The sequence below is a fragment of the Homo sapiens genome, chromosome 6, assembly GCF_000001405.40.
Source record: "Homo sapiens chromosome 6, GRCh38.p14 Primary Assembly".
In the NCBI taxonomy this organism is placed as follows: domain Eukaryota; kingdom Metazoa; phylum Chordata; class Mammalia; order Primates; family Hominidae; genus Homo; species Homo sapiens.
In genome coordinates, this window is record NC_000006.12 from 111,173,827 (window position 1) to 111,199,262 (window position 25,436).

Consider the following 25,436-nt stretch of genomic DNA (forward strand, 5'->3'; position numbering starts at 1 on the left):
CAATGTAATAATAATAGAAATAAAGTGCACAATAAATGTAATGCACTTGAATCATCCCTAACCGCCCTCCCCCGGCACCATCCATGGAAAAATTCTTCCTGAAACTGGTCTCTGGTGCCAAAAAGATTGGGGATTCCTGTATTAGAAGAAAAGACACAGTGCACTGAAGAGGGACTCACTGTAAGGAACGGATGGGCACATAACTGCATGGAACATCTCTCCCTGCAGCTCTAGTTCTCCTTGTAAGTCCCTTGCGTTGGTAGAATAATCCTCAGTTAGACAAACACTGATTTAATATGTAGCTCTGGCTAACAGGAGGTGATTAAGAAGAAAACCTCTTAAGATGATTTCCATCCTTTGTCTCTACTTTAGTGGTTTATCTTCATTTCCTGCCTCTTTCCTGTCCCTAGCTGTCTTTATGCTGCTTTAGTTGAAAAGCGTTAATGTGGTCATTAAGGAAAAATAAGTCAAATTTACATTTGACTTTTTATTTTTAAATATTTAATCAACAGAATCCTTGGTTTTACTCATTGCCGCCCCCCACCCCCCAACACACATCCCTTCCTCAACTCTAAAGTGAGCCTCATTCTTTCATATTTTCTTCCATCTAATTTAGAAATTCTATTTGGATTTTTAAAAATTATATTTATTTCTTTGTAGAAAATAGATATTTTCATCTTTAAAGTACCTTTATGGGTTTTTTCTTCTAAAATTGTTTTTTAAAGAAAAAAGTTTTATTTGGAATAAGATTCTTGTAGGTAATTCCATGAGATGATTTATTTTAGCAGCAACATAATATTTACATTATTATTAATGTAATTAATGTTATTAATACCTCATCAGATAGCTTCTTTGATCTGGAAGCTTCCAGGTACCTATTGTCAGTACTTGTGGCTCTACCACTTGCCGAATGTATTACAACTCTAGTTGTGGTAGAGAGGGGACTGAGAGGTAGACAACTTATGTAATCTACTACCTAGTTTGTTAACAAAACACACATACAAAGCAATGTTTTTCAAATTTTTCTGACCACTGAGCAATAAAAATTATGACATATATTTTGATGTGACCCAGTTCTGTCTCTCTTTCTCTACCCTCTAAGTGAAACAAAATTTATTGAAACCAAAATTCCCTTACTACATGTAATATTCTCATATATTCTATTAAATTTCGTTATTTAGCTTGCTGATCAAAGGCTACTGAAACTTGAGAGCAAGATACAGGAGCAAGGGGAAATGTGGTATAGATTCTGAGTGTCAAGTGGCAGGTCCATTTTTTCCTCTAGCTCCAGTTCTGCCTTCTGAGGAAAACCTTCTCCAACAACTTAGGTCAATCACACCCATGTCCCTTCTCTGAATCCTTTTTGCACATATGATTGGTATCCGACAGCCTTACTCATTTACATTGCACTTATTTGGCTGCCAAACGTCACAAACTGGAACCATGTGTTACTGAAGGGAAAACCTGGAAGTGAAAAGGGTTCAGCAGTAGTGCAAATACCATCATAAAGCTCATATACTTCACTCTGCAGGAGGGAGAAGCTCTGTGGTTTTCCAACTGAGAGCATTACAGTACAGTGATACCACTGTACAGGAACTGATGTTCCTGATGATTCTGCTGTGAACAGTATTTTTAATATACACTTTGAAGAAGGCAGAGAGAAATGTATAATAGACTTAAATTTTTTTCTTTAAAATTGTTAAATAAAAACAAATAAGCACTTTAAGTAAGTTACAATTATCTGGAAAACTACTTAGGTGGAAAAACTGATACAGAATGAATGAAGTATTAATTTCTGTTTTGTTCTGTGTTATTATTATTTGGGATAGATGTCTTGTTTCTTTAAGCAGACTATGAATATCTTGAAGGCAGAACCACATTTTTTTTTTTTTTGAGACAGGGTCTCACTATTACTCAGGCCAGAATGCAGTGGTGTTATCATAGCTGACTGCAGCCTGGATTCCTGGGTTCAAGCCGTCCTCCTGCCCCAGCTTCCTGAGTAGCTAGGACTACAGGCATGTGCCATCACACCCAGCTAATTTCAGCTATTTTTTTTTTTTTTAAATAGAGATGGGGTTTTGCTATGTTGCCAGACTGGTCTCAAGCCATCCTCCTGCCTTGGCCACCCAAAGTGTTGGGATTACAGGTGTGAGCCACCACGTCTGGCCAAGGACCAGATTTTTAATATTCTTTTCCACAATGTATCTGGTACACAGTAGTTGCTTAATATGTTGGCTAAACAAAGAGTGGAGATTCAGTAAAGGGTGATCAGAGTGAGGTGAGATTAATTTGGGAAAGCCTAGAAGTGATTCTTGAGCCTGATTTGAAGGTGGTGCTAGCTGTGGATTAGTAGAGGGAGAAGGGCATCTCAGAGAGAGGATTGCCAACATGCCTTAATTTTATCAGATTCTAGAGTTCCTTATGATTACCTCAGCATGTTGCTAGACTAGCATTATTATCCAAAATTTTAATTATTAACCAACTTTAATCTTACTTTCTAACAAATTGTTTGCTTTTACTACTGATAGCCTTTTCAAAAAACTTTAACTAGTTTTATTCCTTACCATAATTGTTTCAAAGAACATAATGATATGATCCTTTATCTTCCTAAGAAATGTGCAATTATTTGGTTAAACTGTAAGATTATTTAATCCATTATTCTTTTGACACATGCATGGCCTTACAGCTTACAAACTGGGATCACTAAAGGAATACACTTAATTTAAGTCTTTCTGTAGTCAGAATATGATTTCTTGTTGTCTTGCACAATACTGAGAACAGTGCAGTACAGGGCGAAGGTTGGTCTACAGCCCTTAGGCCAGCAAAAACAGGCACAACTGCACCTCTGTGCAAATGTTCCTGACATAACCTTGGGGAAAAAATATAAAATGCGGCCTTTTCTTTTACTACCTTGTTTGGTAAGTACCTGGAAAAACTCCATGAAATAATTAGATTTCATAGTTAATTCTAACTTTTTTAAAAAATGTTTCATTGAGACTAGGTTTTTGGTTTGTTAATTGAATCACTGTTGATTTTACCCTTCCTGGCACCAACCTTTATTTCTGAGCTGTGGAGAGCACAGTTCTCACTCAGTGCTGTGTGCGTCACCTGAAATCCACAGAAAGAGGTGGCTGAACAAAATCACTGATGACCTTAATGGTTATTTTTCACATATTCAGATTAAATTAAAATACGTTTAGTGCTACATGCTTGACTTACTGAGTTTTTCCCTCTATTTTGGTTAATTTTTTTTTTTTTTGGTTAACTTTTACTTGTAGAAAATATGTTGATGAACAAAAACCCACTTATACTATAAGATTTTATTCTACCAAGCACACAGTAACAATATTGAAAGCTGCTTTCCATCTTTTTCATCTTTATACAGTTCCATCGAGCCTCTGTACCTTACCTATGGAATCATATTTGCCTGCGGCTGCTCCTTTGCATACCAGCCTTCATTGGTCATTTTGGGACACTATTTCAAGAAGCGCCTTGGACTGGTGAATGGCATTGTCACTGCTGGCAGCAGTGTCTTCACAATCCTGCTGCCTTTGCTCTTAAGGGTTCTGATTGACAGCGTGGGCCTCTTTTACACATTGAGGGTGCTCTGCATCTTCATGTTTGTTCTCTTTCTGGCTGGCTTTACTTACCGACCTCTTGCTACCAGTACCAAAGATAAAGAGAGTGGAGGTAGCGGATCCTCCCTCTTTTCCAGGAAAAAGTTCAGTCCTCCAAAAAAAATTTTCAATTTTGCCATCTTCAAGGTGACAGCTTATGCAGTGTGGGCAGTTGGAATACCACTTGCACTTTTTGGATACTTTGTGCCTTATGTTCACTTGGTGAGTATGCTCCTTCACTGATCATGAATATTACTATTTAATAAAGAAAAACTTCTTTGAAGAGAAAGTTAGGTCGAGTTAAAGTTGGCCTCAAACATTATCCTGGTTGTAATTTTGGTATTCTTGAAATGAAAGGTCTCTCAAGACAATGTCAGCACATCCATTAGACCACTAAACAGAGAGAGTATGTTTCATAGTGTGCTTTGGTATTTTAAAAACCCTGCAAACCCAGCCAGACACCATGGTGCCTGTCTATGGTCCCAGCTACTAAGCTGAGGCAGGAGGATCACTTGAGCCCAGGAGTTCGAATCCAGCCTAGACAACATAGAGAGACTCTACCTCTAAAAATAAAATAAATGTCCCCAAACAAACACAATGTTTTTTAACAGGAAGGCTAAAATAGTGGAACAAATTACAATCAGTATAAAACATTTGATAGGTCTCTTTTTCTTCATATGGCTTTTATCAGGGACAAAGCTAGCGCTATGATTTTGCTACCATAAGTAAATTGTTTTTCAACCGAAGGGTGTAGGTAATTAGCAAAAAAGCCATGATGTTGATACAAAGAAACATTACATCTACTTGTGGTACACTTCTGGGAAAATGGGAATTCTATTCAGAGGAATATCTGAGAAAAGTTACTCAAGATCTAAATGAGGAAAGAGAACTATGGTTTTATAGGAAATTAGGATTTCAAGTGCTCAAGAAGTTTATATTGTTTATTTCTATTTCAAAGGCAAAATTCAGCTTTGTTATACTGAAATACGAATAATTAATGTCTAGACTGGGGTTGGTGCCTCACGCCTGTAATCCCACCACTTTGGGGGGCTGATGCAGGAGTTCAAGACCAGCGTGGGCAACATAAGGAGACTTCATCCCTACCTGGGGAAGGAAAAAAAAAAAAGAAGGAAGAAGCAGTGTCTAAAGTATCTGCCCCTGGCAACGTTTGTTCAAAAGTGTTCATTATGTTTCTTCCTTTTTTCTTTTGTGGCTGAAAATGTATTTACAATTCACCGTAAATGATAAAAATGGCATTGGCACACATATTTGTATGTTTGTGAACTTGGATTTTTTTCTAGCTTACAGTCTACTTTTGGAGATTTGTGCAATTTTTCTTTAGTTAAGAAATAAGTATAAATATAACCGATTTACGGACTATCAGGCTACATCCTGATCTGATAGTCCATTTTCATACTATTAGGAAAGTATAGCCGAACCAACTTAAGGTAAGTTTCCTGGAATATAGATCTGTTGTGACAGGATTAACTTTACCATCCAACCTCTTTCATAGCTTCTGTAGTCAAGAGAACATTTATTGTGTCCTTTCTTAAAAAGATGAGTAGAAATTCTTTTTCTTTTTTTTCTTTTTTCCAGACAGGGTCTTGTTAAGTTGCTCAGGCTGGCTTCAAGCAACCCTCCTGCCTCAGCTAGGATTACAGGTGCAAGCCACCACACCCAGCTTTAAAAAAAAATTCTCTTTGGTACTACCACATGAACACACCTAGAGAAATCATAACTCAGCTTTGCTAATACTAGACATTTACCAAAGGAAAAGTGGTAGATGACTGTCTAGTTATTTTTGGTTATATATTTATAATTTGTAAATTAATTTCACATATATTACTTCATTTGACTTTCACAATAAACCAGTAAAGCAGATAAAATAAATATTAGCTCCAATTTTACAGACTGAAAAACAGATCTATTGTTAATAGAGACGTTAAGTGATTTTCCAAGAATTACATGTCAGTAAACAGCAGAGCAGGAGTTAGTTCTCTTCCACTGTGCTTACCTGGTAGCAAAATCAGTCTACAGTCTTAATAGCATATTGGGCCACTTCCCTGGATATATTACCAAATGTGTCCATCTTATTAGGGGAAAAATGAGTATGCCTAAGGAAATTTAATAAGCATGTTATTTCTTCAGGTAAATAAAATTTCATAGTGGAAGGTGAGTTAGACAATGTTATAGATACTTTTGTGATCAGGAGATGGCAAATCAGATGGTGCACAGAACAATAAAGTCTCTGTTAATTCTGTTAATAAACCATGCCTTTTTTCTGCTTTCCCTTCTTCCAGGCATGTTTTCTTACAAAATATGTTGACATTGTTCATTTGAGATTTTCTCTTTCTCATAACGGTGCCCGTTATCGCACCGAATGCAGCACGGTAGAGGAAAGATCAGATAGCTAAATGCCATACAGGTGTTTAAATCTCCTCTTTGGTTATGTACTGAGTTTGTCACTTTGTTGTAATTTAAGGTTTGAATTATGGATACTTAACCAGGAATGGGACACTAGTTTCCTCCTTATACAGGGAAAAGGTGTCTCATATCCTTCAAAAGACTAGTAAAGTAGATGATGTTCAATTCCTACTAAACCCTTTATTGACTGTTGAGGGGACACATATATGAGACGTAAAAATTTGCTCTGAAGGAGCATAAACCTAGTACATGTAATTAAAAATGGCTACAGTTTATAAAGCACTTTTACATACATTCTCTTATTTAATATTCACAACAATGCAGTACCTGTGGTGTATCCTCTTTATTTCATGGAAGGGAAGACTAAGGCCCGGAAAGATTAAATAACTTGCTCAGCCAGGCACAGTGGCTCACGCCTATAATCTCACCACTTTGGGAGAATGAAGTGGAAGGATCACTTGAGCCCAGCAGTTCAAGACCAGCTTGAGCAACATAGTGAGATTCCATCTCTACAAAAAGTAATTTAAAAAAATTATCTGGGCATGGTGGTGCATGCCTGTGGTCCCAGCTACTTGGGAGGCTGGGGTGGAAGGATCGCATGAGCCCAGGAGGTCAAGGCTGCAGTGAGCCATGATGGTGCGACTGCACTCCAGCCTGGGTGACTGAGTAAGACCCTATCTCTAAAAAAAATTATAAAGTATTCTAAAGGAAGAACAGATTGAACAATTTTTAATTTATTTGTCTCCTCCTCCTAGTGGCAGCCTTTTAAATATGGAAGGTGAAGAAATAAAGAGCCAGATGTGGTGGTACACATCTGTAGTCCTAACTACTCAGGAGGCTGAGGCAGGAGGATTGCTGGAGCCCAGGAGTTCAAGGCTGTGGTGTGCTATGATTGTGCCACTGCACGCCAGCCTGGGTAACAGAGCAAGACTCTGTCTCTAAAAAACAGATAATAAATAAAGAAGTAACTTGCTTGAGGTCACAGAGATAGTGACTGATAATTATTACTGTAGTACTTTTATGTAAGAGGCAGTATTGTATAGTGGTTTAAAAGTGAAGGTTCTGGGCCTGGTGCGGTGGCTCACCCCTGTAATCCCAGCACTTTGGGAGGCCAAGGCAGGTGTATCACCAGAGGTCAGGAATTTGTGACCAGCCTGGCCAACATGGTGAAACCCTGTCTCTACTAAAAGTACAAAAATTAGCTGGACGTGATTGCTTGCACCTGTAATCTCAGCTACTCAGGAGGCTGAGGCAGGAGAATCGCTTGAACTTGGGAGGCAGAGGTTGCAGTGAGCTGAGACCGCGCCATTGCACTCCAGCCTGGGTGACAAGAGCGAAACTCCATCTCAAAAAAAAAAAAAAAAAAAGTTCTGAAGTAAGACAGATCTGGATTTAAATTCAGGTTTTGTTTCTTACTAGTTGCATAACCTTGGGCATCCTCTGTAAGCATCAGTTTCCTCATCTATGGAGATAAACCCAATTTTGCAGAGTTGTGAGGATTAGATAAAATGTATGTGAAACATCTACCTCAGTTCTGGCATAAAAATGGGAGTTATTTTAATGTAAGGCAATGTGATTGCCAACTTGAGATAGAAGTAAATTTTGAAAGGAGAAAGATAATACCCATTTGGAAAAGTGGTTTTAAAAAGTTTCATAGCATTGGAGTTGGGCCTTGAGCATGAGATTTTGTGTACAAATCTGATCTTTGATCAACTAGGGAACTAACTTACCAGTTTAGGTCTTTGAAGATTCAGAAATACAATGGAGTGCTCTCATTGCTATGTTAAAAATTCTAAGATCTTATTAGATTGTACATGATGATTTGAGAGAGAATATGCATGCTTGCTTTCAAAGTGAGGTTGGAGGTTTGATCTTCTCGTAGTTGACGTTTCAAAAAGAAGAATTAGATTGCCTCCTCGAAGCTAAATTTACCTTTCTTTTAGGCCTTCCCACTTAAAATCTTTTTTAGAAGGATACAAATCTTATAGATCAATTTAGATGAGGCCTAACTTTCTAAAAACGATTCCTAGTAGCAGCTGCATCAGTTTTTATGAATTGCCCCTTTTGCCTGAGAGTTGTTTTGTTTTGTTTTCTGGAATCTTTTTTTGTTTTGTTTTGTTTTGTTTTGTTTTTGTTTTCGTTTTTTTTTGAGACGGAGTCTTGCTCTGTCTCCCAGGCTGGAGTGCAGTGGTGCAATCCCGGCTCACTGCAACCTCCACTTCCCGGATTCAAGTGATTCTCCTGCCTCAACCTCCCTAGTAGCTGGGATTACAGGCGCCTGCCACCACACCTGACTTAATTTTTTGTATTTTTAGTAGAGACAGGGTTTTGCCACATTGGCCAGGCTGGTCCCGAACTCCTGACCTCAGGTGATCCACCCATCTTGGCCTCCCAAAATGCTGGGATTACGGGTGTGAGCCACCACGCCTGGCCTCTGGGTTTCTTTTTTTTTTTTTTTTTTTTTTCCTTTTTAACGGCTCCTCTGACTCCTCTCATTTAGCTTTCAGGAGCATAAACTCTCTTGGTTTTCTGCCTACCTCCACATCACTCCTCCTTAGTTTCTTTGCTCACTTCTTCTTTTTCCCACTGACCCCTGAATATCAGCATGTCCTAGGGCTTGTCCCCTGATCTTTTTCTCCATGTATTCTACGGTGGTTTCATCCAGTCTCCTAAGTTCATACATCACGTATATGTCAATGACTTCAAATTTATAATTCTGGTCCAGACCTTTTCCCTGAATCCTCCACCAGAGCTGTATATCCAGCTGCTTACTTAACATCTCCACTTGGGTAACTGCTAGGTGTTTCAGACTTACCCTGTCTAACCCTGAGGTCTTGATCTTACCCCTTAAAACTTACTCTGCCCCCAGCCATCCTCATCTCAGGAGCTGGCAATTCCGCCCTTTCAGTTGATCAGACTCAAAACTTTGGAGTCATCCTTGGCTCTTCTTTCTTGCACACCATAGTCCTGATCCAGTGAAGAAATCCTGGTGGCTTTTCTTTCAAAATATATCCAGGATCTGACCACCTCTCACCATCCTCACTACTCATACCTTAGCCCAGGCTACCACGTACCCCTAGCCTGGATCACTGCCAGAGCCTCCTAACTGGTCTCTCTGTTCCTTCTCTGCCCCGCGGAGTTTGTTCTCTATGAAGAAGCCACAGGCATTCTTTCTAAACATAAGTCACTCTGCTCAGAATCCTTCAATGGCTTCCCATTTCCCTAAGAGTAAAAACCAATATCCTTACAGTGACCTACAAGGTCCTTCACAATCTGGCCCCCACTACCTCTCCGAGCTTCCATCGCTGTCCCTTGCCCACTCTGCTTCTGCCATTCGCCTTTTAATGGGGCTCACTCTGACTACCTGCTTGAAACTTCCTGCGTCCCTTTTCCCCTGAGTATTCACAAACCGCTCCTATTACTCCTTTTCTTTTTTTGTAGCACTTAATACTTTCTAACATTATCTATTTTACTTCTTTATTGTAGTCATTGCTTACTATCCGTATATTTACACGTCTGCTAGAATGTAAACACCACAAGGGTAAGGATCTATTTCATTCAGTGGTAGATCCCAAGCATCTAGCGCAGTGCCTAGCACACACTGGGTGCTCAAATATTTGTTGAATGACTAAATATATTCTGGGTGAGTCTGAAGTGACACTGTATAAGTAATGTTCATTTTTTCATCATTTGGATCTTTAAAATTCTCTACTTTGATGCTATAATGATTTTTCACATTCTGTACTTGCAGGACATGGTGTTATTAATATTTATTCAATACTTATTCAACAAATAAGCTCAAACTAAGGAAACCTCGGAATAATTGAGTAACCAGTAATGCTGTCCGTTGATGGAGGAGAGAGTTGGTGTGTTTTGCTCTGATTCACTTATGCCTTTGCTGAAATTTTAAGATAAATAGAAGAAATTTCTGGTCCCTCAAGTAACTGTGTCTTCAGTACCCACTGAAAAATCTCAAAGAGTCTGGAGTGGTGTGTTTAAGAATAGGATGCAGGATGCAGAACCATAACCAGGCCTCAGGTCTGCATAGCTTTGGTCGAGCATTGAGCATAGGGCCTCGTGAGATAACTGATAAATGCCAAATATGACAATGATAAATGCCAAATATGACAATGATAAATGCCGAAGAATGACAGTGACAATGATAATGAAGTTACCAAAAATGATGGTAACTTTTCTCATCGGCATGAAATGCTCTATCTCCAATCTGAAGCTGATGATGTAGTTTCAGTTACTCTCATCTCTCTCCCCTGCTACTCAGATTGAAAATCAGCTACTTAGTACCTGTGTTCTTTGACTCTAGACCATATCATTGGGTCAAATTTCAGTTTTTAAATTTTAGATCCACATGGTTCTCTGTCAAGAAGATGACTGACTCATATTGAAATCTGTAAAATATGTATTCATTAGCCTGTTTTTTAAAAACTCCCTTATAAGTGGGTTGACTTTGTGGCAGATAGTAATTGACTGTTCTCAAAAGAAACTTTGACCTGGTAGGAAGATCCCATTTACCTGATGCTATGGTTCAAGACAGACAGATCATTTGCTTGCTAGCAGGGCAATTAGGTGAACTTCAAGTCCACTAGTAATTGGAAATGATTTTTTTTTTTTTTTGAGACTGAGTCTCATTCTGTCGCCCAGGCTGGAGTGCAGCGGCATGCTCTCGGCTCACTGCAACCTTCACCTCCTGGGTTCAAGCGATTCTTCTGCCTCAGCCTCCCGAGTAGCTGGGATTACAGGTACCTGCCACCACGCCTGACTAATTTTTGTATTTTTGGTAGAGATGGGTTTCACCATGTTGGCCAGGTTGGTCTCAAACTCCTGACCTCAGGTGATCTGTCTGCCTCGGCCTCCCAAAGTGCTGGGTTATAGGCATTAACCACCGCCCCTGGCCATGAATTGTATTTTTAAACCAGAAATGAAAATTTGAGACTAATAAGTCAGTACAGGGAGCATGTAAACCTCGAAAGGTATTTTTTAGCTTTGAGTAGTGCCAGATGCTGCCAAGGGTCAATCAACACTGGAATGTAGCTATTAGACCTTGCTAGGCAGAGCACCTCCATTTACACTGTGGTCAGAGCAGCAGTACTGCTCCAAGCCAGAGCTAAGGGCGCTGAGCCACGCAAATAGGAACAGCATACAAGCCTTCATCTCTCTGTGGCTTCCTCAGAGGGAGATTCATGTAACATTTGCCAAGAATTGATTATGTGTCAAGCACTTCCCCAAAATCTCACAGAACCACCACAAGGATGAGTGTAATAAATAACACATACTTAGAGCCAAGGAAACAATTCTGCAAAGCTGTGCTTGTTCAAAGCCATTCGCATTATGCTTAAAGCTGGGATTTGAACACAGGTTTCAGACAAATATGTCTGAAATATACTCTTTTTATGAAGGAGTCTGCATTCCTTCATTGCTAATCCAGAGATAGGAGTGCTGCTATTTTCAGCCATACTGGGCCTACACCAAAGATTGCTTTGCACGTTTCCCTTCTGTTCTCTCAGAACGAAGAACAGAGGCCATGTTGAGCTGTTCCAGCACTCAGAGCATGCTTCACAGCCAGGGAGAAAACTCTGGAGGAAACCAGCTTTTGTTTTGATATAATTAATGGGAATGAGAAAATATCTATACCCTTATTTTCAGCCCCAACTTCTCTTTTGATCTCAAGTACATTGTGAATATGAGAAAACTGAGGCCATGCAGTTACTTTTCACAACCTGTGACAAGCAGAACATGGACCATACATAGCTTTGTGTTCAATTTTGCTTTCTACAGTAAACATTAAGCATAACAGAAGAACAAAAATGGACATGTACAAATTTATAGCAAGATCTATCCTTTATTTGATTAACATAAATACTATTGCAGGAAAATGGAAAAAGGTAAACTGCTTGAAATTTAGTCACATATAAACGCTCCGAGGCCACTGGTGGATCATTAGTCTCCTGAGAGAGCTCTAAAGAATTAGTGTGTTGGAAAACTGTTCCCTCCTGTTAATGTGTAAATTTCACCAGTGGGTTTTTTTTTTTTTTAAGACAGGGTCTCACTCTCTTGTCCAGGCTGGTATGCAGGGGTGCAATCACACCTCACTGTAGCTTCGACCTCCCGGACTCAAGCAATCCTCCCACCTCAGCCTCCCAAGTAGCTAGGACCACAGGTGCACACCACCACACATGGCTAATTTTTAATTTTTTGTAGAGATGGGGTTCTCACCACATTGCCCAGGCTGGTCTCAAACTTCTGTGCTCAAACAATCCTCCTGCCTTGGCTCCCTGCCAAAGCACTGGGATTACAGGTGCAAGCCACTGCATCTGGCCTTCACTAGGTTTTTCATTTTGTTTTGCATGTGTCTCAGGTTTTATTTGATAAAATGCAGTATACTTTGAATCATCTCAAATTTCATTTCTAATATGGACATTGGCATGTCTCAAATCCTTGGACTAATAATCAAATTAAAGTTTGTTCAAGTTTGAGGAACCTAAATTAGCCAATTAGATAAGGGTCCTTTCATGTTTTTATATCAACTAGAAAATAAATTGTTTTGATATGGGATGAATAGAAATAGAAATCTTAATTTGAAGAATCTTCCCCTTGTGAGGCTATACTAAATGGCTTTTGCCTGATATTTACAAGGTGGCTTTGGGTTGTGGAGAGAGTTGTCTGATCCATTGAGAGTACATTTCTTACCTTCAACATCTAGGGCATCCTTTGGGAGAAGCCCTTGTAGTCACTAACTCTAAGGATCATAGAGCATAAGGGTAAGCAGGCCTTCTTATGTATTCATGCTATCAGGAAGGGTCTTTAGCACCCAAACAAAGTTCTAGGGGCTGTACATTGCTGATGTGTTAACCCTCAGCTGCCCATGTAGCATCTATTTACCCCTATGCTTTCCCCACTTTCTATCCCTATCATTATATCTCTGGCTCTTTTGCCCCTCTCTCCTTGGGCAGCTTACTTGTAATTAGAAAGTTTATATTCCCTCATAACATATTGTAAAAGTGCTCATTTAAAGGGCAATGCGCACCAAATTGGAGGTGTATAATTGCAAACATGGAATCCCTATATCTCTGTTATGCAATCCCTGTATCTCTGTATCCATGTTAAATTGAACTGATGCTTTTTTGAAGTAAAATGGTAAGAACAGTGGCAACATCTAGTCTTCAGAGCATAGTTTAAGATTTTTGCCCAATCCTCCAACCCATGCAATGGTGTGCTTTGAAAACCACAGGTTTCTTTTAGACAAATACAACATTTATTTCCCGCATTTCTTTTTGATTTAACATTTTAGTTAACATTTTTATTAACATTTTAGTCTACAAGATGCTTCCACATTATCTCTCATTGGAGTCTCAGGACCACTGTGTGAAATGGGCAATATCAGGGCTTCTATCTAGCAAGAAAAGAACCAGATTTGGGGTGGCGAAACAACTTGCTCAGGGTTGCAAGGATGGTACATGGTGCAGCCAGGGCTTGAGCTTGGGTCTTCTTAAAAGTGTGGCTTTTAAATAAAATACTTAAGTGCCTGCCAAAAAAGTATAACATTAACTTAGGACCTGAAAGGCATTGTACAGATCAGGTAGTTGCACTCCTCCCCCTGCCCTACAAAAAAAGAAAGGTAAAGGAACGAAGGCATGGAATAGTTAAGTTGCTTGCCAAAAGCCACAGTTATAAAAGTAGCAGAACTGGGTGTAATACCCAAGAACATCCATGGAAAATAAATGGAAGCTTATTACAGCCCAGCCTGTAAATATGTACATAGAAACAGAATGTGTATGTAGAAACAAAATTATTAGAGGAGTGAAATTAGTTTCTGTCCTAACCCTGGTCAACTCATAGGGTTCATTTCCCAATCAGGAGGTTGCTTTGCCATTTTGACATGATCCATTTTCTCAGAGTTGCCAAGAGCAATTGCAACTGGCTTTGTTGTCTTTCTTTCATGGATCTATTTGGAGCTCAGGGACAAGGTTGTTATGCGGCAGATTGTCCCTGACAATGCAAGGCTCACAGTAGTATCCTTATAAACCAAAGTTCACTGTACACTGGGCCAGGAATGGGCTGCTGAAGGTGACCTCTCCTTCATGTTGGTTGGTTTATCTTTGTTGGTTGGTTGTGTTTATCTCTGTTCACTATAAGGTTCTGACAGAAGCAAAGTCTTGGTCCCCGTTACATGTCCCCAGCCTGGTGGATGATGGTTACAGAGTGCTGGAAACTTTTTTATTTATTTAAAATGGAGTTATGTAACTGAAGAGTTGCCCTATCTCAGTCAGCACTGCAACCAATTAAAATAGAAAGGCTTAAAATATTAATTTTGTTTTTAGCCTAGAGTCTTAAATACTAGGGTTTAAAAGTTTCATTTACTTTCTCTCTCCCTCTCTCCCTCTCTCCCTCTCTCCCTCCCTTCCTTCTTTCTTCCCTCCCTCCCTTCTTTCCTTTTTCCTTTTTCTTAACTATGCAGAATGCTTTGCTACTTTGCACAATGCTTTGCTACTTTGCAAAATAAAGAGTAATCACTTTGCTTTTTCTTCAAGACTTTCAAATTTAAGTAATTTTGTTTTTCTATTTTTCATTCAAAAATAGGGTTATAACATTTCCTTGACACAAGGATATATATATATATTTAGAGACAGGGTCTTGCTATGTTGCTTAGGCTGGCCTTGAACTCCTGGTGTCAAGTGATCCTCCTGTCTCAGCCTTCCCAAGTGCTGGGATCACAGGCATGAGCCACTGTACTCAGCCTTTATTAATCTAAATATGATAATTTACCCACTGAGATTCATTTGTGCTGATTAAATTTACTCTCAATCCCTATATGTATTTCTTGTATTTTTGTTGTTGTTATGTGGCCTGGAAATGTTTCCTTTATTCATTCATTCATTCCCTTCGCAATTAACTTCCAAAAAGGCTATGAAGATATTTATGCACATATACATTTTATGATTCAACTCTCATGGTAACCTTTTATAAGGAAAGCAGTGCTAATAGTGGTTCTTCTACTAATAGATAAGAACATTGAGGCTCAGAGAGGTTTAAAAGGTTTGCCTAAGGTTGCACAGTTAAGTAACAGAGTTGCCATTAGAATAGATTTCCAGTTTATTCTAATGGCAACCTTAATTATTGTTGTTTGACTTGCTCTAATTATAAATCAGTTAAACAGATTCAGGCATTCATTTGAGTATCTATTGTGTGCCATAGACATTCTAGATGTGGGGATACAATGCTAAGAACAGATACTTTCTCATACACAGCTCAATAAACAAGTAAATTCATAAAGAAACAAAGTAGTTTTCAAATAGTGATATTTTCTTCAAAGGAAACAAATTGAGATGGAAGGTGATGGTAAGAGATGGTAAGAGACAACTTTGGCCAGTCAGGGACAACCTCATTGAAAAGCTGATAGTAAGTACATCCTTTGGGTAAAGGGTAGTATAAGGTACTTTGAAGGTACAAAAATAAGACAGCTTTCTATTGCCCTTGGGAGGCCTATAACAGAATTTCTCAAGTCTCTAAGGCCAATCAAGAGTTGGATTTTTTTATCCAACTTATTTTTAATTGATGTATTATTAAAAATCTGCATATCAAAAATGAAAATGTCTTGCATACTTTGCTGTAGGACCCAATCATTGTTTTTTCTTCGTATACTGCATTAATCTGTTTTCACACTGCTAATAAAGACTTACCCGAGACCAGGTAATTTAGGAAGAAAAAGAGGTTTAATGGACTTAAAGTTCCACATGGCTGGGTAGGCTTCACAGTCATGGTGGAAGATGGAGGAGGATCAAAGGCATGTCTTACATGGTGGCAGGCAGGGGAGTATGTGCAGGGGAACTGCCCTTTATAAAACCATCAGATCACATGAGACTTATTCACTGTCACGAGAATAGCACAAGAAAAACCTGTCCCCATGATTTAATTACCTCCCACCAGCTTGCTCCCATGATATGTGGGGATTATGGGAGCTACAATTCAAGATGAAATTTGGGTAGGGAACACAGCCAAACCATATCATTCTGCCCCTGGCTCCTCCCAAATTTCATGTCCTCACATTTCAAAACTAATTATGCCTTCCTAATAGTCCCTCAAAGTCTTAACTCATTTCAGCATTAACTCAAAAGTCCACAGTCCAAAGTCTCATCTGAGACAAGGCAAGTCCCCTCTGCCTATGAATCTGTGAAATCGAAAGCAAGTTAGTTACTTCCTAGATACAATAGGGGTACATGCATTGGGTAAATACACCCATTCCAAATGGGAGACATTGGCCAAAATAAAGGGGCTACAGGCCCCATGCAAGTCTGAAATCCAATAGGGCAGTCATTAAACCTTAAAGTTCCAAAACGATCTTCTTTGATTCCATGTCTCACATTCAGGGCACATTGATATAAGAGGTGTTCTCCCATGGCCTTGGGAAGCTCTGCCCCTGTGGCTTTGCAGGGTACAACCCCCCTTCTGGCTGCTTTCATGGGCTGGCATTGAGTGTCTGCAGGTTTTCCAGATGCACAGTGTAGGCTGTCAGTGGATCTACCATTCTGGGGTCTGGAGGACGGTAGCCCTCTTCTCATAGCTCCACTAGGCAGTGCCCCACTGGGGACTCTGTGTAGGGGCTCCAGTCCCACATTTCCCTTCCACACTGCCTTAGCAGAGGTTCTTCATGAGGTTCCTGCCCCTGCAGCAAACTTCTGCCTGGACATCCAGGCATTTCCATACATCCTCTGAAATCTAGGTGGAGGTTCCCAACCTCAATTCTTGATTTCTGTGCACCCGCAGACTCAACACCATGTGGAAGCTGCCAAGGCTTGGGGCTTGCACCCTCTGAAGCCATGGCCTGAGCTGTACCTTAGCCCCTTTTAGCCATGGCTGGTGCAGCTAGGATACAGTACACTAAGTCCCTAAGCTGCACACAGCAGGGGGGCCACACAGCAGGGGGACTCTGGGCCTGGCCCATGAAATCATTTTTTCCTTCTGGGCCTCCAGGCCTATGATGGGAAGGGCTACGTTGAAGGTCTCTGACATGCCTTGGGGACGTTTTCACCATTGTCTTGGCAATTAACATTGAGCTTCTTGTCACTTATGCAAATTCTGCAAATGTCTGCAGCTGGCTTGAACTTCTCCCCAGAAAATGGGTTTTTCTTTTTCTTCTTCCTTTTTTATTATTATACTTTAAGTTATGGAATACATGTGCAGAACGTGCAGGTTTGTTACATAGGCATACATATGCCATGGTAGTTTGCTGTATCCATCAACCTGTCATCTACATTAGGTATTTCTCCTAATGCTATCCCTCCTGTAGCCCCCCACTCCCCTGACCAGCCCTGGAATGTGATGTTCCCCTCCCTGTGTCCATGTGTTCTGATTGTTCAATTCCCACTTATGAGTGAGAGCATGTGGTGTTTGGTTTTCTAATCCTGTTTTAGTTTCCTGAGAATGATGGTTTCCAGCTTCATCCATGTCCCTGCAAAGGACATGAACTCATCCTTTTTTATGGCTGCATAGTATTCCATGGTGTATATGTGCCACTTTTTCTTTATCCAGTCTATCACTGATGGGCATTTGGGTTGGTTCCAAGTCTTTGCTATTGTGAATAGTGCTGCAATAAACATATGTGTGCATGTGTCTTTATAATAGAATGATTTATAATCCTTTGGGTATATAACCAGTAATGGGATTGCTGGGTCAAATGGTATTTCTGGTTCAAGTTCCTTGAGGAATTGCCACACTATCTTCCACAATGGTTGAACTAATTTACACTCCCACCAACAGTGTAAAAGCGTTTTTATTTCTCCACATCCTCTCCAGCATCTGTTGTTTCCTGACATTTTAATGATTGCCATTCTAACTGGCGTGAGATAGTATCTCATTGTGGTTTTGATTTGCATTTCTCTAATGACCAGTGATGATCTTTTTTTTTATATATATTTGTTGGCTGCAAAAATGTCTTCTTTTGAAAAGTGTTCATATCCTTCACCTACTTTTTGATGGGGTTGTTTGTTTTTTTCTTGTAAATTTGTTAAAGTTCCTTGTAGATTCTGGATATTAACCCTTTGTCAGATGGATAGATTGCAAAAATTTTCTCCCATTCTGTAGGTTGCCTGTTCACTCTGATGGTAGTTCCTTTTGCTGTGCAGAAGCGCTTTAGTTTAATTAGATCCAATTTGTCAATTTTGGCTTTTGTTGCCATTGCTTTTGGTGTTGTAGTCATGAAGTCTTTGCCCATGCCTATGTCCTGAATGGTATTGCCTAGGTTTTCTTCTAAGGTTTTTATGGTTCTGTTGCATCGTCAGGCTGCAAATTTTCCAAACTTTTATGCTCTGCTTCCTCTTGAACACTTTGCTGCTTAGAAATTTTTTCCACCGGATACCCCAAATCATCCTCTCAAGTTCAAAGTTCCACAGATCTCTAGGGCAGGGACAAAATGCCACCAGTCTCTTTGTATAGCAAGTGTGACCTTTACTCCAGTTCCCAACAAATTCCTCATCTCCATCTGAGACCACCTCAGAAGCCATTCAACAGGTCTCTAGGAAGTTCCAAACTTTCCTACATCTTCCTTTCTTCTGAGCCCTCCAAGTCTCTAGGAAGTTTCAAACTTTCCCACATTTTCCTATCTTCTTCTGAGCCCTCCAGACTGTTCCAACCTCTGCCTGTTACCCAGTTCCAAAGTTGCTTCCACATTTTTGGGTACCTTTACAGCAGCACCCCACTACCCAGTACCAATTTACTGTATTAATCTGTTCTCATGCTGCTAATAAAGACATACCCGAAACTGGGCAATTTATAAAGAAAAGAGGTTTAATGGACTCACAGTTCCATATGGCTGGGGAGGCCTCACAATCATGGTGGAAGGTGGAGGAGGAGCAAAACCATGTCTTACACGGCAGGAGGCAAGAGTGTGCATGCAGAGGAACTGCCCTTTATGAAACCATCAGATCTCATGAGACTTATTCACTATCATGAGAACAGCACAGGAAAAACCCACCCCCATGATTCAATTAAGTCCCACCAGGTCCCTCCTAGGACACATGGGGATTATGGGAGTTACAATTCAAGATGAGATTTGGATGGGAACACAGCCAAGCCATATTATATACTTTATTAACTACTTATCTCTTCTAATAATACACTTGTTCTCATGTGGTTATTCTTCTTATTACCTTTTTTTTGAGATGAAGTCTCACTATGTTGCCTAGGCTAGTCTCAAACTCCTGGGCATGAGCCATCCTCCCACATGGCCTCCCAAAGTGCTGGGATTACAGATGTGAGCCATCACTCCTGGTCTCATGTGGTTATTACAGTGAATGATTAAGACACCTTCTCTCCTTCACTTTGTCCCTACTTTTTCTCAGATTTTTTTCAATGATGTCTATGCTTTTCTTGTTTTTTTCTAGCTTTTCTAACCTTGCATTTATTTTCCTTCAGATCTCAACATCTGCTGCAATTTGACTGTTCAGGTTAGTGACAATTTGCCCATTTATCAGTTTTGTGCCTTAGGCAGTATTCACCAGCATTCTCCTACTTGAGATGAATAAGGATCTTTATTTATCTGACCACTTGTTTACTCATTCATGGGGACATTTAATATTTACAGAACACTTTCATCAAAACAAGCTTGTTTTTTCTTTTCAAAATATAATATACTAGCATAGGAACTTGACAGAAGAGGTAATAATACAGAAGAAATCTAGAGAACTGATCATGGAGAAATAATTAAACTAAAACAAAGCTGCTGCTTATAGTAAGGTAGACCAAGTTTGTCCTGTGTTCCAAATTATACTTAGCCAAAAATAAATATTTATAGATAATTGAATAGTAGTTTTTAGAAATGATTCATGGATTACTCAGGGGTGGAAATTATCCCTGTAATGTAGGCCCCAAACTTCTAAAATATTTATAATTTGTGAGGGAGAAATAAATCCACAAACATTTGAAAATATCTAATTTTAACTTAAATTGAAAAACAGCAGTAGTGTATTTTTGTTAGGCCCTTATATTGGGTAATATAGTCTATGTAAGTATGGGAAAGGCTGGTGAAAACTGTGGATTTATCTACAAAATACATTGGTACATTGGGGAGTTTTGTGTGGGAAGTGTCCTAACACCTCAGGAAATGCTAAGGAAGAAATGGGTAGGATAGACTGAACACTCCACAAGGGTAGGGAGAGCGTCTTCTCTTCATTGCTCTAGCCCCAGCACCTAGAATGTGCCTGGCACTCAATCTTTTCTTTCCTTTTTTAACTGATTTCAGGTTGAGTTTATAGGCTAGCTGAGTTTATAGGCTGGTAGAGTACAAGGTCTACTAATTTCTCTACTCATGACTACTTTACTTTCTAATAGCACTTTATGTTCTTCAAGTGCTTTTTTTCTTTGTTCTTCAATGTATAATAAGGTGAGAACAGTTTTATCTCCATCTTGCAGGGAGAAGAGTTAGTTAAGAGACTTTCTCAGGTCACACACATATAGTTAATGACAAGGTGAGGTTTAAACCTTAAATAATAGAAATAAAAGTGATTTTATAATTATCTAGAGTAGTTTCAATGTGAAATAACTTAAAGGTATGGAAATGGATGCCAAGAAGTATAGTCAGTCTTGCTGGAGTAAAATAATGCCCAGTGCTTTGTGCCTTCTCCCAGCTGCTGCTTCCAGAAGAACGGGGTGTCTGAGTGTGAACATCACCCAACAAGTAGGTTAACAGATATCCACGCCCCTCTTGACCCACATACATATCAGTGGGATTTAGAATGCTGCCACATATTGATGATTGAATTTATGAAGCATTATAATATCCTCAATAATAAACCAAGTGTCCCTGTCCCAACTTGTTATCTCTGCTTCTGTGAACACATGTTTTCTTTTATATGCTCCTTACTCCTCAGGTGCTCTCTCAGGGACTTTTCAGTTCCTGACCTTGTCCTTTTCAGCATTTTCTCAGAGGACAATTCTTAGCTTCCTGTTGATTCCTCAAGCATTAATTGCTTTTTTCTGCCAGATATTTCCTTGCTAGGCTCTTGAGCCCTCAGAGCTGTTCTGAATTATGCAGTGGGAATTGCCCAGGATTAGGAATCACCTAATGTCCCCACCACCCCCGCTTCCTTGTGAGGCACTTCTCAACTCTGCATCCCTTATACCTTCACAGCAACCCTGTGTACCCAAAGCAGTGTCATACTCGGTGCCTCCTTTTCTCTCCTGAAATAAAATTCCTAGATAAGAAGACCTCTATATTCCAGGCCTTGTCTTTGATTTTAGGGAAAAAAAAGAAAACTACCTATATACATAATGTTTTTAAAAATCAGTAATGTCCCACTCGTTACAGAAAGGAGAAATAAAAGAAGTAAGTTAATGCCTGGGATACGTGCTACAACATGGATGAACCATGAGGACATTACACCAAATGAAATACTCCAGGCACAAAAGCACGAATACTGTATGGTTCCGCTTAGATGAGGTACCCAGAGAAGTCACATTCATAAATACTGAAAGTTGTATGGTGGTTTCCAAGGGGAGGGGGAAATGAGGAGTTATTTAATGGGCACAGAGTTTCAGCTTGAGAGGAGGTGGTGACAGTTGTACAACAATGTAAATGTACTTAATATAGTACACTTAAAATGGTTAAAATGGCAAATTTTATGAAATAGGAATTTATCACGATAAAAAATTAAAAAGTAAGAAAAGTTACTGCTTGGGCGAAAGTATATCAAAAAAATAAAAATAGTCCCCACAAATTTCCAAAACAACCCTAATGAGGTGTTGCTGCCTAAATGGTGAACCAAATTGTGAACCAATGTGTAGTGTTTGAGACTGGGAAACTGATGCCCAAGATTTTAGCCTCAATAAGGAGTAGAGTTCATAATTTGACTCCAAAGACATTTCTTTCCCTACCATGCCAAGGCCATCTGATTCCCAGTCCAAAGAAGTTTTCTCTCTGCTCTGTAGGCTGCCTTAATCCAGAGTACACAAGCCTTCCATTTTCTTATCTGTCCTCCTACCAGGGTGTGGTCCTTTTCCTCCTGAACACTGACTGTATAATTACCAGACAAAACTAAACATATTTAAAATATAGGCAGTCCTCTACATCCAAGGTTCCACATCCTTGGATTCAACCAACCATGGATTGAAAATATTTGGGGGAAAAAAAAACAATAAAAAAACACTGGCCTGGGCAGCATAGTGAGATGCCATCTCTACAAAAAACATTAAAATATTAGCTGAGCATTCCAGCACTTTGGGAGGCTGAGGCAGGCAGATCACCTGAGGTCAGGAGTTCGAGACCAGACTGGCCAACATGGCGAAACCCTGTCTGTACTAAAAATACAAAAATTAGCCAGGCATGATGGCAGCTGCCTATAGTCCCAGCTACTCAGGAGGCTGAGGCAGGGAAAATTTCTTGAACCCGTGAAGCAGAGGTTGCAGTTAGCCAAGATCCCACCACTGCACTGCAGCCTGGGTGACAGAGTGAAACTCTGTCTCAAAAAAATAAAAATAAAAATAAATAAAAATTAGCTGAGCATAGTGGCATGTGCCCATGGTCCCAGCTACTTAGGGGGTTGAGGTGGCAGTGAGCTGTGATCGTGCCACTGCACTCCAGCCTAGGCAACAGCGAGACCCCATCTCAAAACAAAAACAATAAAACAGAACACAGATTAAAAACAAAATACAGGCTGGGCTCACTGGCTTATGCCTGTAATCCCAGAACTTTGAGAGGCCAAGGTGGGAGGATTGCTTGTGCTCAGGAGTTTTAGATCAGCCTGGGTAACATGGCAAGACCACATCTCTACAAACAACAACAACAGGAGACTATACTTTCAGGGACCATTTCTGGGGATCATAGTTTGTTACTAGAGAAGTTTCTCTGTGTAGAGCATTGAAATATAAAAATGCAGAATAATCATTTACATAGCATTTACATTGTATTGGTTATTATAAGTAATCTAGAGATTAATTAAAGTATACAGGAGGATATACATAGGTTACATGCAAATACTACACCATTTTGTATAGGGGACTTGATCATCCATAGATACGGGTATCTGAGGAGGTGTTGGGTTCAGTTCTCCACGGATACCAAGAGACTAATGTTAATTTCATTTCCCCAACCTCCACACCAGAACTCTGAAATAAGAATAAGAAAAGGAGCAGTTGGGATAGACAATATCAGAAGTATGTGGAAATGATAACAGTGGAAGGAAAGCTGATCTAGGCCTACTCAACAAATTTTAATCTTCATTCCGGTAAAAACAAATTAGATTTATGGGTGCAAATTTGAGCCAGCAATTAGATGGCTCTTAGGATTAATAAAAAAAGACTGAACATCATGCCTTCCAAAGACTGAGGGAAAGAGATAGATAGGAGACTTTGGCAAAGTAGCACTTTAGCCAACATCATTAGCCTAAATCTTAGTGAAGAGAGGTTAGAAGAAAGGTAGAATTTTCATGGAAGGATCCATTTTTCTTCACTTCAGAATTAAGGGAAAAATTAGGAAGCTGAATAAGAACTAATGGCCTAATTTCTTTGTTTCTTTCAAAAATCAAATCTTTAAGTTAAAATTTCAATAACCAACAGAAGAAGGTAGAACCAATTTTGTGAATTTACAAAATACTTGCTTATTGACACTATTGCCAAGGTCATTAAATAAGTTATCAAGTTACCTCAGATCCCAGTGATTTAAATAATGCTTTCTGAATGTATCCTTTTCTGTTTTAAGAAGAAGCTGTATTAGGTTCTTGTGTTCCTATAAAGAAATACCTGAGGCCGGATGATTTATAAAGAAAAGAGGTTTAATTGGCTCACGATTCTGCAGGCTGTATAGGAAGCATGGCCCCAGCATCTGCTCAGTTTTCTGGTGAGGTCTCGGGGAGCTTTTACTCATGGCGAAAGCAGAGTGGAAGCAGCAGGTCACTTGATGAAATTGAGAGCAAGAGTATGGGTGGGGAGCTGCCACACTCTTAACCCAATCTCTAGTGAACACAAGCAATAACTCACTTATCACCAAGGGAATGGTGCTAAGCCACTTGTGATGGATCCACCTCCAAAATCCAGTCACCTCCCACCAGGTCCCACCTCCAACATTGGGAATCACATTTCAACATGAGATATGGAAGGGACAAACATTCAAACCATATCAGAAGCCTATCTTAGGCTGGGCACGGTGGCTCACGCCTGTAATCGCAGCACTTTGAGAGGCCGAGGCAGGCAGATCATTTGAGGTCAGGAGTTTGAGACCAGCACGGGCAACATGGTGAAACCCCATCTCTACTAAAAATACAAAAACTAGCTGGGCATGGTGGCACACACCTGTAATCTCAGCTACTCGGGAGGCTGAGGCAGGAAGCTCTCTTGAACCCGTGGGCAGAGGTTGCAGTGAACTGAGATTCTGCCACTGCACTCCAGTCTGGGCAACCGAGTGAGGCTCTGTCTAAAAAAAAGAGAAGCCTATATTAAACTTATAAAATTTAATATCATTTCAACTAGCCTTTTGTTGGGTGCATTTGTTCACTTTGGACTATTTTTCCAAATTCATGTACAGTCGTGCATCTCTTAACAATGAGGATATGTTCTGAGAAATGCATCCTTAGGCAATGTCATTGTTGTGCAAACATCATAGAGTGTACTTAGACAACCCTACATGGTGTAGTCACTACATACCTAGGCTATATGGCATAGGTAGAGCCTATTGCTCCTAGGCTACAAACCTGTACAGCATGTTACTGCACTGAATGCTGTAGGCAGTTGTAACACATGGTATTTGTGTATCTAAACATGGAAAAGGTACAGTGAAAGTACAGGATTATAATCTTATGGAATCGCTGTTATATATGTGGCTCATCTTTGACCAGAAATGTTATTATGTAGCACATGACTGTAATTCCACTATTGATTAGAGACTCCATAACCCACACCTACCTGTTCATTTGCATGCACATTTAGCCGATAGGTGACTTTATCACTAGATCAGTCCAAGAATAAGTTTAAAGAGCATGTCCCCTTTTCTTGTTTTTTAATAAATGTAAAACATGGAAGTACATGATACCTCAAAGGAGCATGAATCACAAACAGGAGTCCACATTTACAGAGCCTTTGCAACCACTTTTATATCTTCAAAGTGCTCTACCAAAGTATCGGAGTCAGTCAGTCATGCAGGTAGGCTGCCAACCATGGCTGAGCCCTCAGGAGCTGTCTTGATGACCAGCATAGACACGGTCTGTTGTGTTCATTCAAACTTGCCAGGAACCAAGGATCTGAGAATGGTAAGTCTGGTGTGCCAAGAATGAAACTCCAAGAAAGAAACTTCAGAATCAAATTTAAATTTAGGCTGGGTGTGGGGGCTCATGCCAGTAGTCCCAGCGCTTTGGGAGGCTGAGGTGGGCAGATCACCTGAGGTCAGGAGTTTGAGAC

At 39.8% G+C, this 25,436-nt stretch overlaps 1 protein-coding gene and 1 long non-coding RNA gene across 5 annotated transcripts in view; one reads left to right on the top strand and one right to left on the bottom strand.

The window, feature by feature from the left end:
- The window catches only part of SLC16A10 (solute carrier family 16 member 10), a 143,692-nt gene that overhangs the window by 86,324 nt on the left and 31,932 nt on the right, over positions 1-25,436 (top strand). Inside the window, exons 3-5 of one of the 4 annotated variants that reach the window (XM_011535422.3) lie at positions 3,386-3,839; positions 19,467-19,498; positions 20,678-21,263. In XM_011535422.3, the coding sequence (XP_011533724.1) occupies positions 3,386-3,839; positions 19,467-19,490 (478 nt within the window). In that variant the 3' untranslated portion in view covers positions 19,491-19,498; positions 20,678-21,263. Of the gene's footprint in view, positions 1-3,385; positions 3,840-4,575; positions 5,886-19,466; positions 19,499-20,677; positions 21,264-25,436 lie in introns of those variants that run through there. The other 3 variants (XM_047418167.1, XM_006715329.3, NM_018593.5) reach the window with 3 other exon arrangements.
- On the bottom strand, positions 13,293-24,532 carry LOC124901377 (uncharacterized). Its single transcript, XR_007059707.1, has 2 exons — positions 24,336-24,532; positions 13,293-13,581 (listed from the first exon to the last, which is right to left on the bottom strand). It is a non-coding gene; the product is annotated as an uncharacterized LOC124901377 (long non-coding RNA).